A 15,874-nucleotide genomic window follows, 5' to 3' on the forward strand; every position below is an offset into this window, starting at 1 on the left:
CCTGGCGTCCAGAGCTGGGGCGTCTGAGGGAGGTTGCGTGAGGGTCTTCGGCTTCGGCGCTGGCTTGGGGCGAGGGGCCAGGGCCTTGGCGGCCCAGGCGACCAAACCCTCTCCTGGTCCAGGGCTGGGTGAGGGCGAATTACGAATTGTTCCAGGGGCAGGCAGTCCCCCAGCCCGCACGGCCAGCGAGTTCTTTCTGGTTTTGTTCTTTCTCCCTTTCCTCCTTCCTTCCTTCGCCAGTGCATTCTGGTTTGGTTTGGATTTTTTTCTCTCTTTCTTTCCTTTCTTTCTTTCTTTCTCTTTCTTTTTCTTTCTTTCTTCCTCTTTCTTTCATTCTCCCCTTCCTTCCTTCCTTGGCCCCCTCTCTCCCTCCCTCCTTCCTTCCTTCCTTTGCCAATGCATTGGTTTGTTTTCTTTCCTTTTCTGCTTTCCTTCCTTTCTTTGGAAGTTCACTCTGGTTTTGCTTTCTTTCTTTCCCCATCCCTTCCTTTCTTTATCCCTCCTTCCCTTCCTCCTTTTCTTTCTACGATTCCCTTTATTTTTCCTTCATTCCTCCCTCTTTTTGTCTCTTCTGGAGGAGGTGAAGGAGGGTCAGCTTCAGGCGCTGCGAGTCAGCGGGGATCACGGTGAGGCCCAAGCACTGCAGGCTGAGGCCACAGAGCGAACACTTGTGCTGAGCCGGGCCCTCTCGTGAGGCTGGGGTGCGGGAAGTCCGGGCAGGAGAGACCCGCCCCCGCCGTTGCTGAGCTGAGACCCGGCTGAAAGAGAGGGGTCCGATTAATTCGAAAATGGCAGACAGAGCTGAGCGCTGCCGTTCTTTTCAGGATTGAAAATGTGCCAGTGGGCCAGGGGCGCTGGGACCCGCGGTGCGGAAGACTCGGAACAGGAAGAAATAGTGGCGCGCTGGGTGGGCTGCCCCGCCGCCCACGCCGGTTGCCGCTGGTGACAGTGGCTGCCCGGCCAGGCACCTCCGAGCAGCAGGTCTGAGCGTTTTTGGCGTCCCAAGCGTTCCGGGCCGCGTCTTCCAGAGCCTCTGCTCCCAGCGGGGTCGCTGCGGCCTGGCCCGAAGGATTTGACTCTTTGCTGGGAGGCGCGCTGCTCAGGGTTCTGGTGGGTCCTCTGGGCCCAGGAGCTGGGAGGGCTGCGCCGGCCTCTGGAGCCCCGGGAGCCAGTGCCGAGGTAGGGAGACAACTTCCGCCGCAGGGCGCCGGACGGTCGGGGCAGAGCAGGCGACAGGTGTCCCTAGGCCGCAGGGCGCTTCCATAGCGCCATCCCCACCAGGCACTCTACTCGAAATCGGAAAGCTCGACCTTTTGCGTTCGCCTCTGCCAAGCCTGTTATTTGTGCTGGCCGCTGGGTCTGGAGCTGCGCTTCTCGGCCCCTCCCCGGTGGAGCGCAGAGGGCTGGTCTGCAAGCGCGGCCTCCAGCCCCGCGGCTCCCCGGCCCAGGAGCCAGGCGCGGGCTGACCCGGGAGCACCCGGCAGCGGAGGGGGCTGGAAGCGGACCCTAGGCCTCTCCTGTGCCACCCGGCCCTACCGCGCGGCCGCGGGGCGCTCTCCTCTCGGGCGCAGCGGTCCTTCAGCCCAGGGCAGGTTCCTCCCTTTCCTACTCGGAACGTGGCAAAGATACCCCAGTCCCAGCCCCTCCAGCTGAGAGCTGTTGCCCAAGGTCGTCGCTACTTGTCCGCTCAATGGTGACCCCTTGGCAGAGAACTAGGGATGATTCCACTCCGGTTGATGTTTTAGGGGAAATTAAAAGAACATTCGGTTTTCTGAGTCTCCTTCCGGGGAGGCGTGGTGGTAACTGGTTTGCTGGGAAGAGCCGTTCCTTAACCGCATGCAACAAAGCAGGTGTGGAATCCGGACGAGAGGGCACTCACTGCCTTCTGCCCCCTTTGGAAATAGAAAAAGCCTTCGAAGCAGCAATCCAAAGATCAAATGATTTGCGGTCAATGATTTCAATTAAACCAGAAATTAGTAAGGGAGGGCCGAGAAGACACGGCTGCTCAGAAGCTGTTCGCTGTTTGAGGGATTTCCCGGAGAGCCTGTTAAAAGATGCGAAGTGGTGGGTGTACCGCTCAGCCACCTTTAAACCGGCTCTGTGCGTTCTGGCTCTGGAAAGCAAGTCTCCAGGCATTTGGGCTCAGAATTGCTGGGCCCCGAGTTTGGGCGGGGGTGGTCCTTCTGGGGGTCAGGCCTTGAGCAGCTTGCACTGGTGGCAGGTTTGGGAGCAGTTGAGGGGCTTCCTGTGTGTCTTTTGGAGGGGGTGACCCTGGAAGTTGGCACTCTGGAAGGGAGCTGTTTGGCCCTAGAGTTTTGGAAAGGGCCCTGAACCTGTTCGGTCCCCCTCGGAAAGGGAAGGGAGCAGTGGCTTAGTCCCTCCCTCCTCCATTCGTGCAATGCCTGGGGTAGGGGTAGACCTGGAGCCGGTGGACTCATATCCTTGGAATTCGTCAGGACAGCTGCTCCGGGGCCTTGGCCCTCAGTCAGTCTGGGGCTGAGGAGTAGGGAAGCTGGGAACTTGGGGCAGAGGAAGAAGATGCGTTTAGAAAGACCTCCATTATGCAAACTGGAGTCCATTTATGCAAACTGGTCACCCTTCCAGTAGCTCCAAAGAGTGGCAGTGGAGTGGCATCTTGATTGATTTAACCTCTTCTCAGGGGACCTGGGTCTGCGAGGGAGGATATGGCTGCGGGGTTGGAATAGGATCTGTCTGAGCTGCCAGGGTCAGGGTGGTGGCCCTAGGGAGGTTTTAGGGCCAGGGTGGTCCCGGGCTGTGGCAGGGGCTCTCAGATCGCCTCGGGCTCTCAGCTGCAAGGTGAAAAATACCATGAGGAATTGATCTGCCAAGGGCGGTCTTGTCTCAAAGCAAGTGGATTGCTGGGGTAAAGAATCTAGAGACCAGCTTAGGACTCTGGGAGGAAGAAAAAAAAAAAAAGAATAGCATAGTCCTAAGGAACTGCAAGGATCACCAGATTAACCCTTCATACCTGGGGAAATTAAGGCCAGACATGACACAGGCCTTTCCCAAGGCTCTGTAGCAAGGGCAATAGCAGGCCAGTTGCTGCCACTGCGGTCCTGTGGGGCATGTTCTCACTCCACTGCACCCAGGAGGCTGCCAGCCTCTGTTCCTTTTAACATAGATCTCCTCAGTTGTTAAGACAGAAAGAGGAACTCAGAGGGGTCCCTGTGTGCAAGGCAGAGGGAGACCACCAGAACCAGGGTAAGCACCCCACTTGGTAGCCAGTTCAAGGACTTGGGGATGTTTTCAACATTTACAGCGAGGTTTGAGGCCCCATTGTCATGCAGCGCTACTCGGCCTTGGTCTCCTTATCTGTAAAATGGGCCCATTAGCAATGCACAGGGTTGCTGTGATGAAGGGTGAGGTCCCACAAGCAAAAGCTGTGCAGTGAGGGGGGAATCCTAAGCATTGTTCCTATGCCATTCACCCCTTCCTGTGAGCTCCCCATATTCCCTGGCTCAAAGGAGTCTTGAATGGCAGGGATGGAGGACTCACTGCCTGGACTTTGAAGACCCCTGCTTTCTGGGTGACCACCTTTTCTTCCCTTTGACAGTGAACTAATACATTGGAGGTAGATAGTGCTGGGAAGAGGACAGGAGACCACGGCTGACTTTGGACATGGGCTCGAAATTGATAACTTGATGAGTCTTGGAGGGTGGTTAAGATAAGCTCGGGGCTGGGGCAGCGCTGAGGTCTGATGGTCAGCCAGCCCTCCCCAAAGTGTGGCCCTCCGTTCTGGAGATAGGGGCTTTGGAAACTGCAAAAGCGTCCTGGCAGGCCAGCTCTGGTTGCTCCCTGGCCATAGCTGCTCTGACTACAGGCAGCAGGACGCAGGTCGGCCTCTGCCCATCGGAGGTCAGAGGCAGGGCCTCCAGCACCAGACTCAGCAGTGCCACTGCAAACCTGGCACAACAGGCTGGTCCCAGGACTCAGCTCAGCAGTGAAGTTGGAAACCAAGGTTGAGTCTCCCCATCTCCCTTTCCCCAACCCGAAAGACCCAAGATGGGTGTGGGTGAAAGAGGGAGAAAGAATTGCTACTCCAGAAACTGTCATTTGCCCACACGAAACGAGGTGGGGTTCAAGGTCTGAACTCTTCCAGTGCCTGGGTGCCTTTGGGTTTAAATTCAGCTGCAGGTGCCCCCATCACCACTTCCACCTGAGCACACCACGAGAAGCCAGGTTATCTTAGAAACTGTTTCCCGGAATCAAAGCGACTTGATTTGGAGAGTTGGGTGAGGAGAAACTCACCCCTATACCCCTCAGGGCGTCAGAGATGTGAGGCAATTCTCTACCTCCGCTGGAAAAAATGCAGATTTATTAAAGGTCGACTGTTTAGCAGAACAACGTAGATTTTTTACAACGCTTTCCCCGTCTCTGCTTTGAAGCCTGCCAGGCTGCAGCTGGGGATCCAGGAGGGAAAGCCCGCAGGCGCAGAGGGGACAATCCGGGAAGTGGTAAAGGGGACACCCGGGCACAGGGCCTGTGCTTTCGTTGCAGGCGAGGAAGTGGAGCGCGCGCTGCAGATTCAGCGCGGGGCTAGAGGAGGGGACCTGGATCCCTGAACCCCGGGGCGGAAAGGGAGCCTCCGGGCGGCTGTGGGTGCCGCGCTCCTCGGAGCCAGCAGCTGCTGGGGCGGCGTCCGAACTCCCCAGGTCTGCGCACGGCAATGGGGGCACCGGGCCTTCTGTCTGTCCTCAGAATACGTAGGATACCCGCGGGCGACAAGCCGGGCCAGGCTAGGAGCCTCCTTCCCTGCCCCTCCCCATCGGCCGCGGGAGGCTTTCTTGGGGCGTCCCCACGACCACCCCCTTCTCACCCGGTCCCCAGTTTGGAAAAAGGCGCAAGAAGCGGGCTTTTCAGGGACCCCGGGGAGAACACGAGGGCTCCGACGCGGGAGAAGGATTGAAGCGTGCAGAGGCGCCCCAAATTGCGACAATTTACTGGGATCCTTTTGTGGGGAAAGGAGGCTTAGAGGCTCAAGCTATAGGCTGTCCTAGAGCAACTAGGCGAGAACCTGGCCCCAAACTCCCTCCTTACGCCCTGGCACAGGTTCCCGGCGACTGGTGTTCCCAAGGGAGCCCCCTGAGCCTACCGCCCTTGCAGGGGGTCGTGCTGCGGCTTCTGGGTCATAAACGCCGAGGTCGGGGGTGGCGGAGCTGTAGAGGCTGCCCGCGCAGAAAGCTCCAGGATCCCAATATGTGCTTGCGTGGAGCAGGGAGCGGAAGAGGCAGCCGGTCCTCACCCTCCTCTCCCGCCACGCACATATCCTTCTTGACTTCGAAGTGGTTTGCAATCCGAAAGTGAGACCTTGAGTCCTCAGATGGCCGGCAACGCGCCGAGGTCACGCTCCCCAGAAACACCCCTCTCCCCTCCCCTACCCCAGCTCCCCCTGGGGCGGGTGGTAATTGGGGGAGGAGAGGCCGCAGGCAGGGAAGGGGTGGGAAAGCCAGAGAGGGAGGCACAAAGTGATGGCAGCCCGGCAAACACTGGGGCTTCGGGCTGGGCCGCGCTCGTTTAATCCCACAAAAATCCCATTTTGGAGGTGAGAAATAGAGGTTAGAGGTCGGGCCCTTCTGGAGATCAGACCGAGGAGACGGGCCCAGCTGGCGTCTTAAAGCAAGGAGGGGGAGTCGGGAGGAGGTGAGACCCCTGCACCCAGGTGGGGCTCCCAAACCGTTCTGGATTTACCACACTCCCAGGTCCGATTTTCCATGGAGGGCTGGGGTTAGGGACTGGCACCTTCTTGTTGTTAACCGCATTTGATATTCACAAGAACCCTGTGAGGAGACTTTGTCACCGTTTTTAGATGCCTGAGGTTGCCGGAGGGGCAGTGAGAGAATCGTCTAACCTGGTGTTCCTACCACAGTCCAGGCCCTGTGTCCTGGGCTGGACCCACAGCCCCTGCCACCACCCAGAGGAAGGCGCGAAGCTGGCTGCCTCCTTTACGGGTCTCCCTTAGGTGCCCTCATGAAGGGGGACGGCCACCTCACAGTGCAGGAACTATCTCCCCGTTTGCTCCCAAATAGTCTTCTTGGTGTGGTGCTGTCTATGGTCTGTGACCTGCATCTGGAGTTACCCCCAGGACCAGCTTCGGAAGAGGAGGGATCGCTTGGAGGCCGTGCAGTGTGAGGAACGGCAGGCAGGGTGTGGGACCAACATGCACACACTCGCAGGTGCTGGGGCCAGGGAGGAATGAGGCGCTGGCTCCCTTTCCCTCCATTTCTCCCTGGGGGTCCCAGCAACCTGGCCATCCCTGACTTCCAACAGCACAGCGTCCCCACAGGTCCTGCAGTGCTCTGCAGGGGTGCAGGGAGCTCCCCTCCCCCCAGCCGCAACCTCACCTTCCTCACCCCCACCCCTCCGGCAGGAAACCACAGGCTGGGTTGGGGACCCCTGGTGCTCCAAGAGAGCAGTGAGTGCTGGGAGCCGCTAACCCCGAGGCGCCTAGCACAGACTCTTCTCACCCCTTATTTCTGAAATAAAGCCCTTCCTTAGGTCCAGATGAGGACCACGTGCTCAGTGCCTCACTTTCGTGGGAGTGTATATCACTTTACAGTATCAAGACAATTTTCTTTCGTTACAAATCTTTATTTAGTCTCTGCGTTTAGACCAAAGTAGATTTTTATGGGCTGAGTGAAAAAACCTCGCCCGCATTGGTTTCTGATGGAACAGCTGGCAGCGCCACGGCCCCGGGTGGGGTGGCCTAGAGGCAGGGGTGCTTGGGAGGAACATCTAGCACCCGACCACCTCCACCAGGTGGGAAAGGGACGTTTGCACCAAATCTCCGCCGGCAAAGCAGAGGCTTTGGGGAATTACAGAAAAACTATAATGATCTAAAAGAGAACAAGTTATCTTGAACTGTGCGGGTATTTGAATCATACAGAAAATTGTCCTGTGTGCCCAATGCACTTTTGCATGTAGAGCCAGGGCCTTCGAGGAAGCTTTCAGGAGATCCCGGGCAGCGGAGTCTGGTCTGGAGTTTCATTTCCGTAGGTGCAGATTTCTCCCCAAGTCTTCCCGCCATGGGCTTTGCAAGAAGCCAGGGCCCAGAGGCCACGCTCACCGTTAACACTGCACAGGGCAAAGGTGGCTCCAGGACAACTGCCCAACCCCAGGAACGACCCAGCAGCAGAGAAAAGGACAGCTGCCAGGGTGCCTTTGTCGCTTTTTGGAAATCAGAATTCCTGGGTCCTTAGTTAAGTCTTACTTCACCAAATCCCAGGACCTTCACATTTTGGTTCTTGCCATTGCTAACAGTTGTAAATGCTGCCGCCACGAGGCCTGGGAGGAAGGACCCGCTGGTGAGAGCACAGGGAGTGCTGCTGTGATCACGGTGGTGATGCGGGGTGAGCGCGATTTCCCGGGATTAAAAAGCCACCGCTGCCCCCGTGGTGGAGGCTGGGGGCCCCCGAATAATGAGCTGTGATTGTATTCCCGGGATCGTGTATGTGGAAATTAGCCACCTCCTCAGCCAGGATAAGCCCCTAATTCCTTGAGCCCAGGAGGAGAAATTAAAGGTCATCCCTTTTTAAATTGAGGAATAGTGGTTTTTTTTAACTTTTTTTTTTTTAGGTTTTTAGTTGCCGAATAGGGAAGGGTTTGCGAAGCCGCTGCCCTGGGCCGAGGTGCATTTTACGCTTCCAGAGGTCGAGGCCTCCAGAGACCGCGATGCCCAGGGCGTTCCCGGGGAGGCTGAGAGACCCAGGGTGCTCTGGGTGACTGCACGGCGACTCCTCGGGAACCCACTCGTGGCTGCCCGCTTGGAAGGGCTTTGCGGCCCCGGGAACGATCTCCAGGATCTCCACGGCTGGTCAGGTTCCCCGTCCCTCGTATCCCGCGCTGCCCGGGGGCTCCTGCCTTTGGTTCAGTGCTCGCGGCACCACCGCACTCAGGACGGCAGTGGGGGGCTGGGGCTGGGGCTGGGCCTGGCCCAGCGTGGGTTGGGGCGGGGGACGCGCCAGCAGCGCCCGCAGCTCGCTCCGCAGGGGTCGCAGCCAGGGGTCGGGAGCTAGGCTCGTGGGCCGGGAGACGCCGGGCGCGTTGTCCTCCGGGGAGGTTGGGGTGCAGGCGGTGCACCGACCCTCGCCATCTGGCGCTGCAGCCACCAGCCACGGCGCTTAGTGGAGGGTCTGCGGCCAGGCTCCCGGCGGAAAGATTCCGGGGAGGGCTCGGGGGTTGTCCCAGCCCGCGCTAAGCGCCGCAGCCTCGCCCGGCTTTCCTGCTTCCTCGGACTGTGCAGGGGAAGCCTGGGGTCTCGCGGGGCGCAGCAGTCAGGTCGAGGGTGCAGCAGGAGGGGAGTCCTGACGGGCAGGTCCCTCTTTCCCCTGGTGCGCAACACTGGTTGGTAGCTTTTGCGGAGGTGGTGAAGAAGGGCAGGAGGCCTGTTGAGCGGAGGAGTCCGGGGATCCCTAATTATGTGACAGGAGACCCTTTCCAGTTCGGCCTGTGGCCCATCCCTCTCTCACCGCCGGCAGATTGGAGTCTGCTCTCGGGGAGCCCCCAGGTAAACCCCTCACAGGGAGAAGGTTTCGGATTGGAAGGAGGACCGCGCTCGTGGGGCGCCTGTGAGAGCTGGGAAGCCCAAGGGGTAGCGTGTAGGGGGTTTTTTATGCGGGAGGAGCTGCCTCCTGGGCGGCGGGGACTTTCTGTCTCAGCCTGTCTGCCTTTGGGAAAACAAGGAGTTGCCGGAGAAGCAGGGAAAGAAAGGAGGGAGGGAAGGAGGGTCCTTGGGGGAATATTTGCGGGTCAAATCGATATCCCCGTTTGGCCACGAGAATGGCGATTTCAAAGCAGATTAGATTACTTTGTGGCATTTCAAATAAAACGGCAATTTCAGGGCCATGAGCACGTGGGCGACCCGCGGGAGCTGTGGGCCTGGCAGGCTCGCACAGGCGCCCGGGCTGCCGGCCGCTGCGGGGATTTCTCCCCCAGCCTTTTCTTTTTAACAGAGGGCAAAGGGGCGACGGCGAGAGCACAGATGGCGGCTGCGGAGCCGGGGAGGCGGCGGGGAGACGCGCGGGACTCGTGGGGAGGGCTGGCAGGGTGCAGGGGTTCCGCGTGACCTGCCCGGCTCCCAGGCATCGGGCTGGGCGCTGCAGTTTACCGATTTGCTTTCGTCCCTCGTCCAGGTTTAGGAGACGCGTGGGGACAGCCGAGCCGCGCCGGGCCCCTGGACGGCGTCGCCAAGGAGCTGGGATCGCACTTGCTGCAGGTAGAGCGGCCTCGCCGGGGGAGGAGCGCAGCCGCCGCAGGCTCCCTTCCCACCCCGCCACCCCAGCCTCCAGGCGTCCCTTCCCCAGGAGCGCCAGGCAGATCCAGAGGCTGCCGGGGGCTGGGGATGGGGTGGTCCCCACTGCGGAGGGATGGACGCTTAGCATGTCGGATGCGGCCTGCGGCCAACCCTACCCTAACCCTACGTCTGCCCCCACACCCCGCCGAAGGCCCCAGGACTCCCCAGGCCACCTGAGACCTACGCCAGGGGCGCCTCCCGAGCGTGGTCAAGTGCTTTCCAATCTCACTTCCCTCAGCAGGTTCCACCCAGCGCTTGCTCTGTGCCAGGCGCCAGGGCTGGAGCAGCAGAAATGATTGGGCTGCTCTGAGCTCTGAAGCATTCGGCCGCTGTGTGTGTGCAAGGGGCGCAAGGACGGAGAGACAGCATCAATAATACAATATTAACAGGAGCACTTGTCCAGAGCTTACTGCAAGCCACATTCAGTTCCGGACCTTATTGACTTCCCCCTCCCATCTAGAGTGGATTCTGGTTTTTCAATTTGTTTTGTTTTGTTTTTTGTTTGTTTGTTTGTTTTTGAGACGGAGTCTCACTCTGTGGCCCAGGCTAGAGTGCAATGGCGCGATCTCGGCTCACTCCAACCTCCGCCTCCCGGGTTCAAGCGATTCTCCCGCTTCAGCCTCCCGAGTAGCCAGGATTGCAGGCACCCGCCATCATGCCTGGCTAATTTTTGTAGAGACAGGGTTTCACCCAGGCTGGTCTCGATCTCCTGACCTCCGATGATCCGCCCACCTCAGCCTTCCAAAGTGTTGGGATTACAGGCGTGAGCCAACGCGTCCTGCCTTGATTCTGTTTTTAACTCCATTTTTTAGAGGAGGAAATTGAGGCACAGAGAGGTTAAATAACATGTCTAAGGTCACACAGCAAGGGGTGGAGCGGAGTTAGCCCACTGGCCTAGCTCTAGAGCCCACCCGGATAACCAGAACTTGGTGAGGCCTCCGGGCTCTTGCTTGGTTTGGAGCCAGGTGCTTAGCGCCCCGAGCCCGGGGCCATTCACCCTGCAGGAGCTGCACGCGCCCCTGACCTCGGCTTTTCCCTGGCAGCAGAGGGGCTTTGCGGGTCGGCCGGGTAGCCCTGAGCACAGCTCGCCACTTCCAGGTGGGCTGTTGGCGCTGGCTGGGGACACATCCCGATCTTTCAAATGCCCTTTACAGAGCCTCATCAACGACCCGATTCATTCCCCCCTCCTGTCATTTGTCTCTGCCATCGAAAAATGCCTACCGAGAGCTGCTCTGCATTTCCGCCCTCTATTTTGTGTTTTACTTTAAAATAATAATAAAAAAAATGTTGGCTGCAGGACGCCATGACTTAGGTCAGCGAGTCAGCCGCTAGCTCTGCATTTCCAAAAAGCAGATCTTTTCACAACTCTCTTGCCCCAAGTGCCCTGGTGTGGTTTATTTTTTAAAATGCATGCCTGCGGAAGAGAAGACCCGGGGAATATTCGAAACCCCGAGCTTTTACAACATAAAGCGCATGGTGTGGCCGCGGCGAGTAATGGCGCTCTGGGAGCCCTGCCCAGGCGGCCTCTGCTCGCCCTCCTCCACTTCCAGCTCCGAGCTGGGTGTGTTGCAAGTTTCATACTCCTACATATTATAAGTGACACTAATATCAGGGACAACTAAGTGCTGGGGAACTTCAATGAAAACCTGGCTGGTAAAGTCAACACCCCCAGACTTCTCTGTGCTACATTTCTTTAATTAATTCCGGAGTGGTGTGTGGACGGGCGTCTTTGCAGTTATTATACACGTAAGTGAATTAGGCCATTTGAAGCTACGAAGTCATACCCAACATTTTCCATTAAGAATATTATTTTTTTAGCTACTGCTGGCAACTTTTAGAATTTAATTATGATAATTTTCCTCTTTTCCTCATTATCCCAGATATGGCTGGTTGTGAGATACTTTTTCACTAAATGTGTCTCTTTAATGATTTTGGAATTAAGCAAGCATGCCAAATGCGCCAAGACATTTATAACTTTAGAAATTGCTGTATAGTATATATTTTTGGAACACCACAGGTTTAGTTGGGAAAATATTTTGCAGCTGAGTTAGAAACTTGAAAGTTAGGCTTATAATCAAGATGCTGATTTTCAACCTTAGCATCGGGGAAGGTAATGATAGTTTAGTTGGCAAAGACTTTTTGCAGCAAACTGTATTTGAGACAGCAGAATCCAAGGATATCTTTCAAGATTCACTTATACTACATTCTTTTTAGCCCCCTCTCTAGGGGTGGAGGGGGTGGCTTAGAAAAACCAAAGGTAATCTGGTTTCAATTACATGCTGTAAAAATAGAATTTGTGGCCAGAAATTAATTTGGAATATTTTTTATGGGGGCAACATTGTGGGTTGTATGAGTCTTTCACCAACTTTATTGCTTTTCTTTGGTTCTGGATCTAAAATATGAATGAGTAAATAAAATACAGTTTCCTTTTTCAAAAATAATTTAGTCTTTTTATCCTTGACACATAAATATAATCATTACCTTTTTATTTGTCTTAATTACCTCTTATAGTTTTACTTTATTTTTGAGGGTTAGCCAACTTAGGAAAAATCAGAATTTCATTTGGGTAGTTTTCATTTTTCAGAAGTTGATACTTTTCCTCCTTGAATTTTGCAAAGGTTATTTGATCTCTTGCAAATTCTAAATAATTAATTCTGTAGACATAGTCTGGTAAAATAACCAGGTATTTTGTTTTATTTTCTGGGCAGTGGTAGTGTTCGGAATTTATTATTCCAACGGTACTTAGAGGTAACTAGAAAATTGTGGCAAATAAAGCATATGTCCTAGTGGTATAAATGACTGCCAATTATGACATAAAATGGTCTATATAGTGGTAGATTTTCCCCTAAGTACCATAGAACTCCGGATTTGTACTAAGTGCTAAAATAACCCCAAACAATAAAGCTACTACGTTTAACCTGAGCTTGATAGGAATTCTCAAATGTTTTGCATGATTTTTGTGATGTGGATGTATGATTGTTTCTAAAGTGCTTTAAAAGCATTTCAGAGCCTGGCCTGGGAACTAAACCCTGGGTGCTGTTTCCTACAGTCCTTTTTAAGACCCTGGGCTTCATTTTTGCATTTAGCAAGTATGTGTTGATGGTCATATTTGATGCATCCCTCCATCCCAGTGACTGTACCATTGTTAGATTTAACTCTAATGTAGAATGATCATCTCTTATTCTGACACTTTATCTTTTACAGACTTTGGATGGATTTGTTTTTGTGGTAGCATCTGATGGCAAAATCATGTATATATCCGAGACCGCTTCTGTCCATTTAGGCTTATCCCAGGTGGGTATTGCCTAATTTTATGTGCAACCAAAATATTAAACGAAGTGACAGCAGATTTTGACAGCCTCACCCAACTTGAAAATGAGTCTGTTTAAGTGTTTGCTTTTGTGTAAGAACATAACCCTAAATTGCAAAATCCTCTTCTCAGGACATCCTGCAGGGGTTTTCTTCTCCATATTACGTTTTACTTTTTTACTTTCTTTTTCCCTTGGGGTTTCATGACCAGTGTGTCTTCACCCCGTCAGCCTTGTTCCGAGATTCTGCCAAAACCCGGACTATCTGCTTATGTAGTAATGCTAGATGCCCTGAAAAGAGCTCCACAAAGGGACATGTTTCAGTCCACACTTGCTGGTCTGCACGTTACGGTATTATGAGTTGCTATAAAGCAAGAGGTAAGCTGATGTGGAACATGGATTTTATGCAGAATGTTCTTTGGGGAGAGAGAATGGGGAGGGGTAGATTTATGAGTGTTCGCATGGAATTCGGGGTCATTTTTCCTGACTTTTTCCAGTTCAGTGGTCGTTTCAGCAAAGCATTTTATATGCTTGTGATAGAAACTCATAAAACTCAGTTTACTACTGTTTTGAACAGCAAGGTTTCTTTAGAACATCTGAATATTACCAATTTTTCTGGAAAGATGGAATCATCTTCTTAAAAAAGTCCACCGTTTCCTTAGAGGAAAGAGGGGGACTCAGCTTTGTCTCTCCCTGGCAAGCCAAGGGTTTGATGGGGGATTTGGGGGCTCCCTGGGCCCATTGAATGTCTGAAAGGGGATAGTGTAACTGATCATTCTCATTCACATGCCTGACTTAACAAATGTGGATCATGATTTTAAAAGTCACATTTTAAACTACATATAGGGACTAAATATTTCTTCACATTGTGTACTATCAGAGTGATTTTTCACCGTGACTGAAGACACACTAGAATTAATGATAGATACAGAGGATGGGTTCCAGAGAGGCCCATATTGAATTTGAATTACACCTGCCTCCTAATGTAGTTAAGCCAAAATAAAACATGCCGATTAATGTGGCTTCAGTTTGCTCATTGAAAAACAAAATGACCACATTTGGCAAACTGCATCTGGTGTATTCCTTTTATTTTTCTGCCAATACTTTTTTTTATAAGCTTGCTATTTATTTACATCCTTCTCTTCTGATGTATGGATATCCTTATCCAGATCCACATGGGTTTATGTAACTCTGTGTTTCTCAGGCAAAACCCTTTAAAATGAATTACATATTAAAATGATATGGAAGTTTTTCTCTTCCTCTTCTCTGCTTTTATCAAACCAAGTCTCCCAAATACAGTTTACTAAGGCTTGGCACTTGTGCCTATGTGACTCGTGGGATTAGTGTACTTGTAGAATGGGAACTACTGTTGGGAACAGGAAATTTACTATTTTCCATAATTATTAGGTTGATGCAAAAGTAAATGCGGTCTTTCCATTACTTTTAATGGCAATGACCGCAATTACCTTTGCACCAACCTACTATTATTATTCTCTGAATTTTTATCTTGCCCTATTTAGAATCATGCAGGGCCCTTAAGTTGTACCCAGACTAGTTTCTACTTCTGACTTGGCCCAATTACTTACCTTTTTTAGTCATTTAGAAAACCTTTCATAGTCTTACAGTAATGTCACAAACACAACAAAACATTTCACACACTTTTAAAGATGACTGATCAAAAATCTTTTAAAATAGGTAAAGTCACTGTTATCAAATATTAAATTTAGATCTGAGCTCCCTAGCAGTCAAAGCAAAAAGGGAAATGTATTCAGTTATAGAGTTTTTATTGTCTGATAGGGCAGGTTCTTTAACCTACTTGAACCATGTAACTTAAATAGTAAAATCATGCCTGCTCTATCTGTCTTTAAGGATCGTGGTGAGAAAGGGATCAAAATGCCTATTTCATGTGATTTACAAACTACAGGGGGCAACACAAAATCCAGGCATACCCACAGTTTCATTTGAGCAAACTTGCTTTCAGTAGAGTCCTTTGGGGGCTCCTATTAGGGCTGCTTGGTCATTTGGAATGTCCTGGCCCATCAGGAGGTACTGTGCACATCCCAAGAGATCCGGTGCATTCAGTCAGGCCGTCCAAGTTAGCCTCTCTGTGTTATTTTTCTCTTTTTATGTGGAAAATAGAATTGATTGATTATAAACACAATAATTAAGAAGGACCAAAATATTGGATAGGTGACAAATCTGCCTCCGGTTCGTGATCGGCTCCACGGAAGGAAATCCAGGCAGCCTCACAAGTTGAAGTACTCTATTTCCTCATGATCATAATGCAGCAGGAAAACTTTGCATCATAATTTTGAGAGAGGAGAGGGGTTAGGCACTACCATTTTCTAAGAAAGTTGTAGAGATACATACATTGTCTCTTTCTCTCCAGTAGAAGTGATAGTTTCTAAAAAGATAAGTCAAACTGATCATTTGCATAGAGCAACTGATTTTTTCTGATTTCTCTGCGGGGCTGTGTTAGCATCAGTTCACAGCTACAAAAACACTTTAGTGCCAAGTGCCCTCTTTGTCGGTGTCTAGGGAGCGTTCCACGGTGAACTGTTTAAATAAGCAACAACTTTTCTCTCAAATCTTCCCCCTGTTCATGATTAACTCCATAGAAGGAAATCTAGGCAGAATCACAATGTGTATTTTTTTCTGTCTTCTTTACTTAAATAGTAAAATAAAGTATTGAATAGGATGTCAAATACCCAACTGGTCTTTTAAACATTTTTGCACCTTTTAGATTATTTTTTAAAAGTCAGGCAAATGTATCAAGCATGAGACCTTTATTAAAATGGGCTTAAACATTTTTTTTAAGTCATGAGAGATAAAAGTGTTAATAAAATTTTACCCAGTAGTCAGAGTAACCTTTTAAAAAGAATTTCTGATGAATAACGATAGTAGTAATAGCTGATACATGCTGCTCTTTTGTGTTCCAAAAACTTTCAATTACCTTCAATGACATTATCTTATTAAGTAAAGATGTCTTTCATGTTGATTCAGTGTTAAACTTTATGTTAAAAGATCATAGAGAATGTAAGCCCCTAGATCTGCTATAATTGTGTGGAAATTCACTACAAAGTGATTTTTTGTTTTGTTTTGTTTTTGGTCTAACCTCTACTAAATGACTATCCAAATTCTTTATTTGAGGGTATGGAAATGATTCTTTATGGGTTATAAGCCCATCCCCATTCCAAGTCTTTTATTAAGCCTTATTTGAACAAGTGTTGAAATAAATCTGCTTCGTATGGCAGAG

The 15,874-nt window shown here is 51.8% G+C and overlaps 1 protein-coding gene and 1 long non-coding RNA gene across 8 annotated transcripts in view, besides 6 other annotated features; both read left to right on the top strand.

The window, feature by feature from the left end:
• Positions 1 to 15,874, top strand: part of SIM2 (SIM bHLH transcription factor 2) — a 50,803-nt gene that overhangs the window by 904 nt on the left and 34,025 nt on the right. For 4 of the 6 annotated variants that reach the window (NM_005069.6, NM_009586.5, XM_047440953.1 and 1 more), the window contains exons 2-3: positions 9,150 to 9,232; positions 12,515 to 12,604. In NM_005069.6, coding sequence (NP_005060.1) covers positions 9,150 to 9,232; positions 12,515 to 12,604 — 173 coding nt within the window. Of the gene's footprint in view, positions 1 to 9,149; positions 9,233 to 9,551; positions 12,605 to 15,874 lie in introns of those variants that run through there. The other 2 variants (XM_047440952.1, XM_011529694.2) reach the window with 2 other exon arrangements.
• Positions 324 to 917: an enhancer, noted in NCBI's record as "H3K27ac-H3K4me1 hESC enhancer chr21:38072642-38073235 (GRCh37/hg19 assembly coordinates)". NCBI's record gives its function as "activates a minimal SCP1, AML or CMV promoter by ChIP-STARR-seq in primed H9 embryonic stem cells {active_cell/tissue: H9 hESC(primed)}" and the evidence as "EXISTENCE:reporter gene assay evidence [ECO:0000049][PMID:30033119]".
• LOC107985492 (uncharacterized) lies at positions 498 to 9,113 on the top strand. Of its 2 annotated transcripts, XR_001755029.1 has the most exons (4): positions 498 to 6,194; positions 7,279 to 7,367; positions 7,594 to 7,831; positions 8,370 to 9,113. It is a non-coding gene; the product is annotated as an uncharacterized LOC107985492 (long non-coding RNA). The 2 variants fall into 2 exon arrangements; XR_001755028.1 differs by having other exon boundaries at positions 498 to 7,367.
• Positions 918 to 1,510: an enhancer, noted in NCBI's record as "H3K27ac-H3K4me1 hESC enhancer chr21:38073236-38073828 (GRCh37/hg19 assembly coordinates)". NCBI's record gives its function as "activates a minimal SCP1, AML or CMV promoter by ChIP-STARR-seq in primed H9 embryonic stem cells {active_cell/tissue: H9 hESC(primed)}" and the evidence as "EXISTENCE:reporter gene assay evidence [ECO:0000049][PMID:30033119]".
• Positions 4,995 to 5,824: an enhancer, noted in NCBI's record as "H3K27ac-H3K4me1 hESC enhancer chr21:38077313-38078142 (GRCh37/hg19 assembly coordinates)". NCBI's record gives its function as "activates a minimal SCP1, AML or CMV promoter by ChIP-STARR-seq in naive H9 embryonic stem cells {active_cell/tissue: H9 hESC(naive)}" and the evidence as "EXISTENCE:reporter gene assay evidence [ECO:0000049][PMID:30033119]".
• Positions 5,200 to 5,381: a silencer, noted in NCBI's record as "fragment chr21:38077518-38077699 (GRCh37/hg19 assembly coordinates)". NCBI's record gives its function as "represses an EF-1alpha promoter that drives an FKBP-Casp9 reporter gene in an ReSE screen in K562 erythroleukemia cells {active_cell/tissue: K562}" and the evidence as "EXISTENCE:reporter gene assay evidence [ECO:0000049][PMID:32094911]".
• Positions 6,655 to 7,484: an enhancer, noted in NCBI's record as "H3K4me1 hESC enhancer chr21:38078973-38079802 (GRCh37/hg19 assembly coordinates)". NCBI's record gives its function as "activates a minimal SCP1, AML or CMV promoter by ChIP-STARR-seq in naive H9 embryonic stem cells {active_cell/tissue: H9 hESC(naive)}" and the evidence as "EXISTENCE:reporter gene assay evidence [ECO:0000049][PMID:30033119]".
• Positions 9,145 to 9,974: an enhancer, noted in NCBI's record as "H3K27ac-H3K4me1 hESC enhancer chr21:38081463-38082292 (GRCh37/hg19 assembly coordinates)". NCBI's record gives its function as "activates a minimal SCP1, AML or CMV promoter by ChIP-STARR-seq in primed H9 embryonic stem cells {active_cell/tissue: H9 hESC(primed)}" and the evidence as "EXISTENCE:reporter gene assay evidence [ECO:0000049][PMID:30033119]".

The sequence above is a fragment of the Homo sapiens genome, chromosome 21 (genome assembly GCF_000001405.40).
Source record: "Homo sapiens chromosome 21, GRCh38.p14 Primary Assembly".
Classification (NCBI taxonomy): domain Eukaryota; kingdom Metazoa; phylum Chordata; class Mammalia; order Primates; family Hominidae; genus Homo; species Homo sapiens.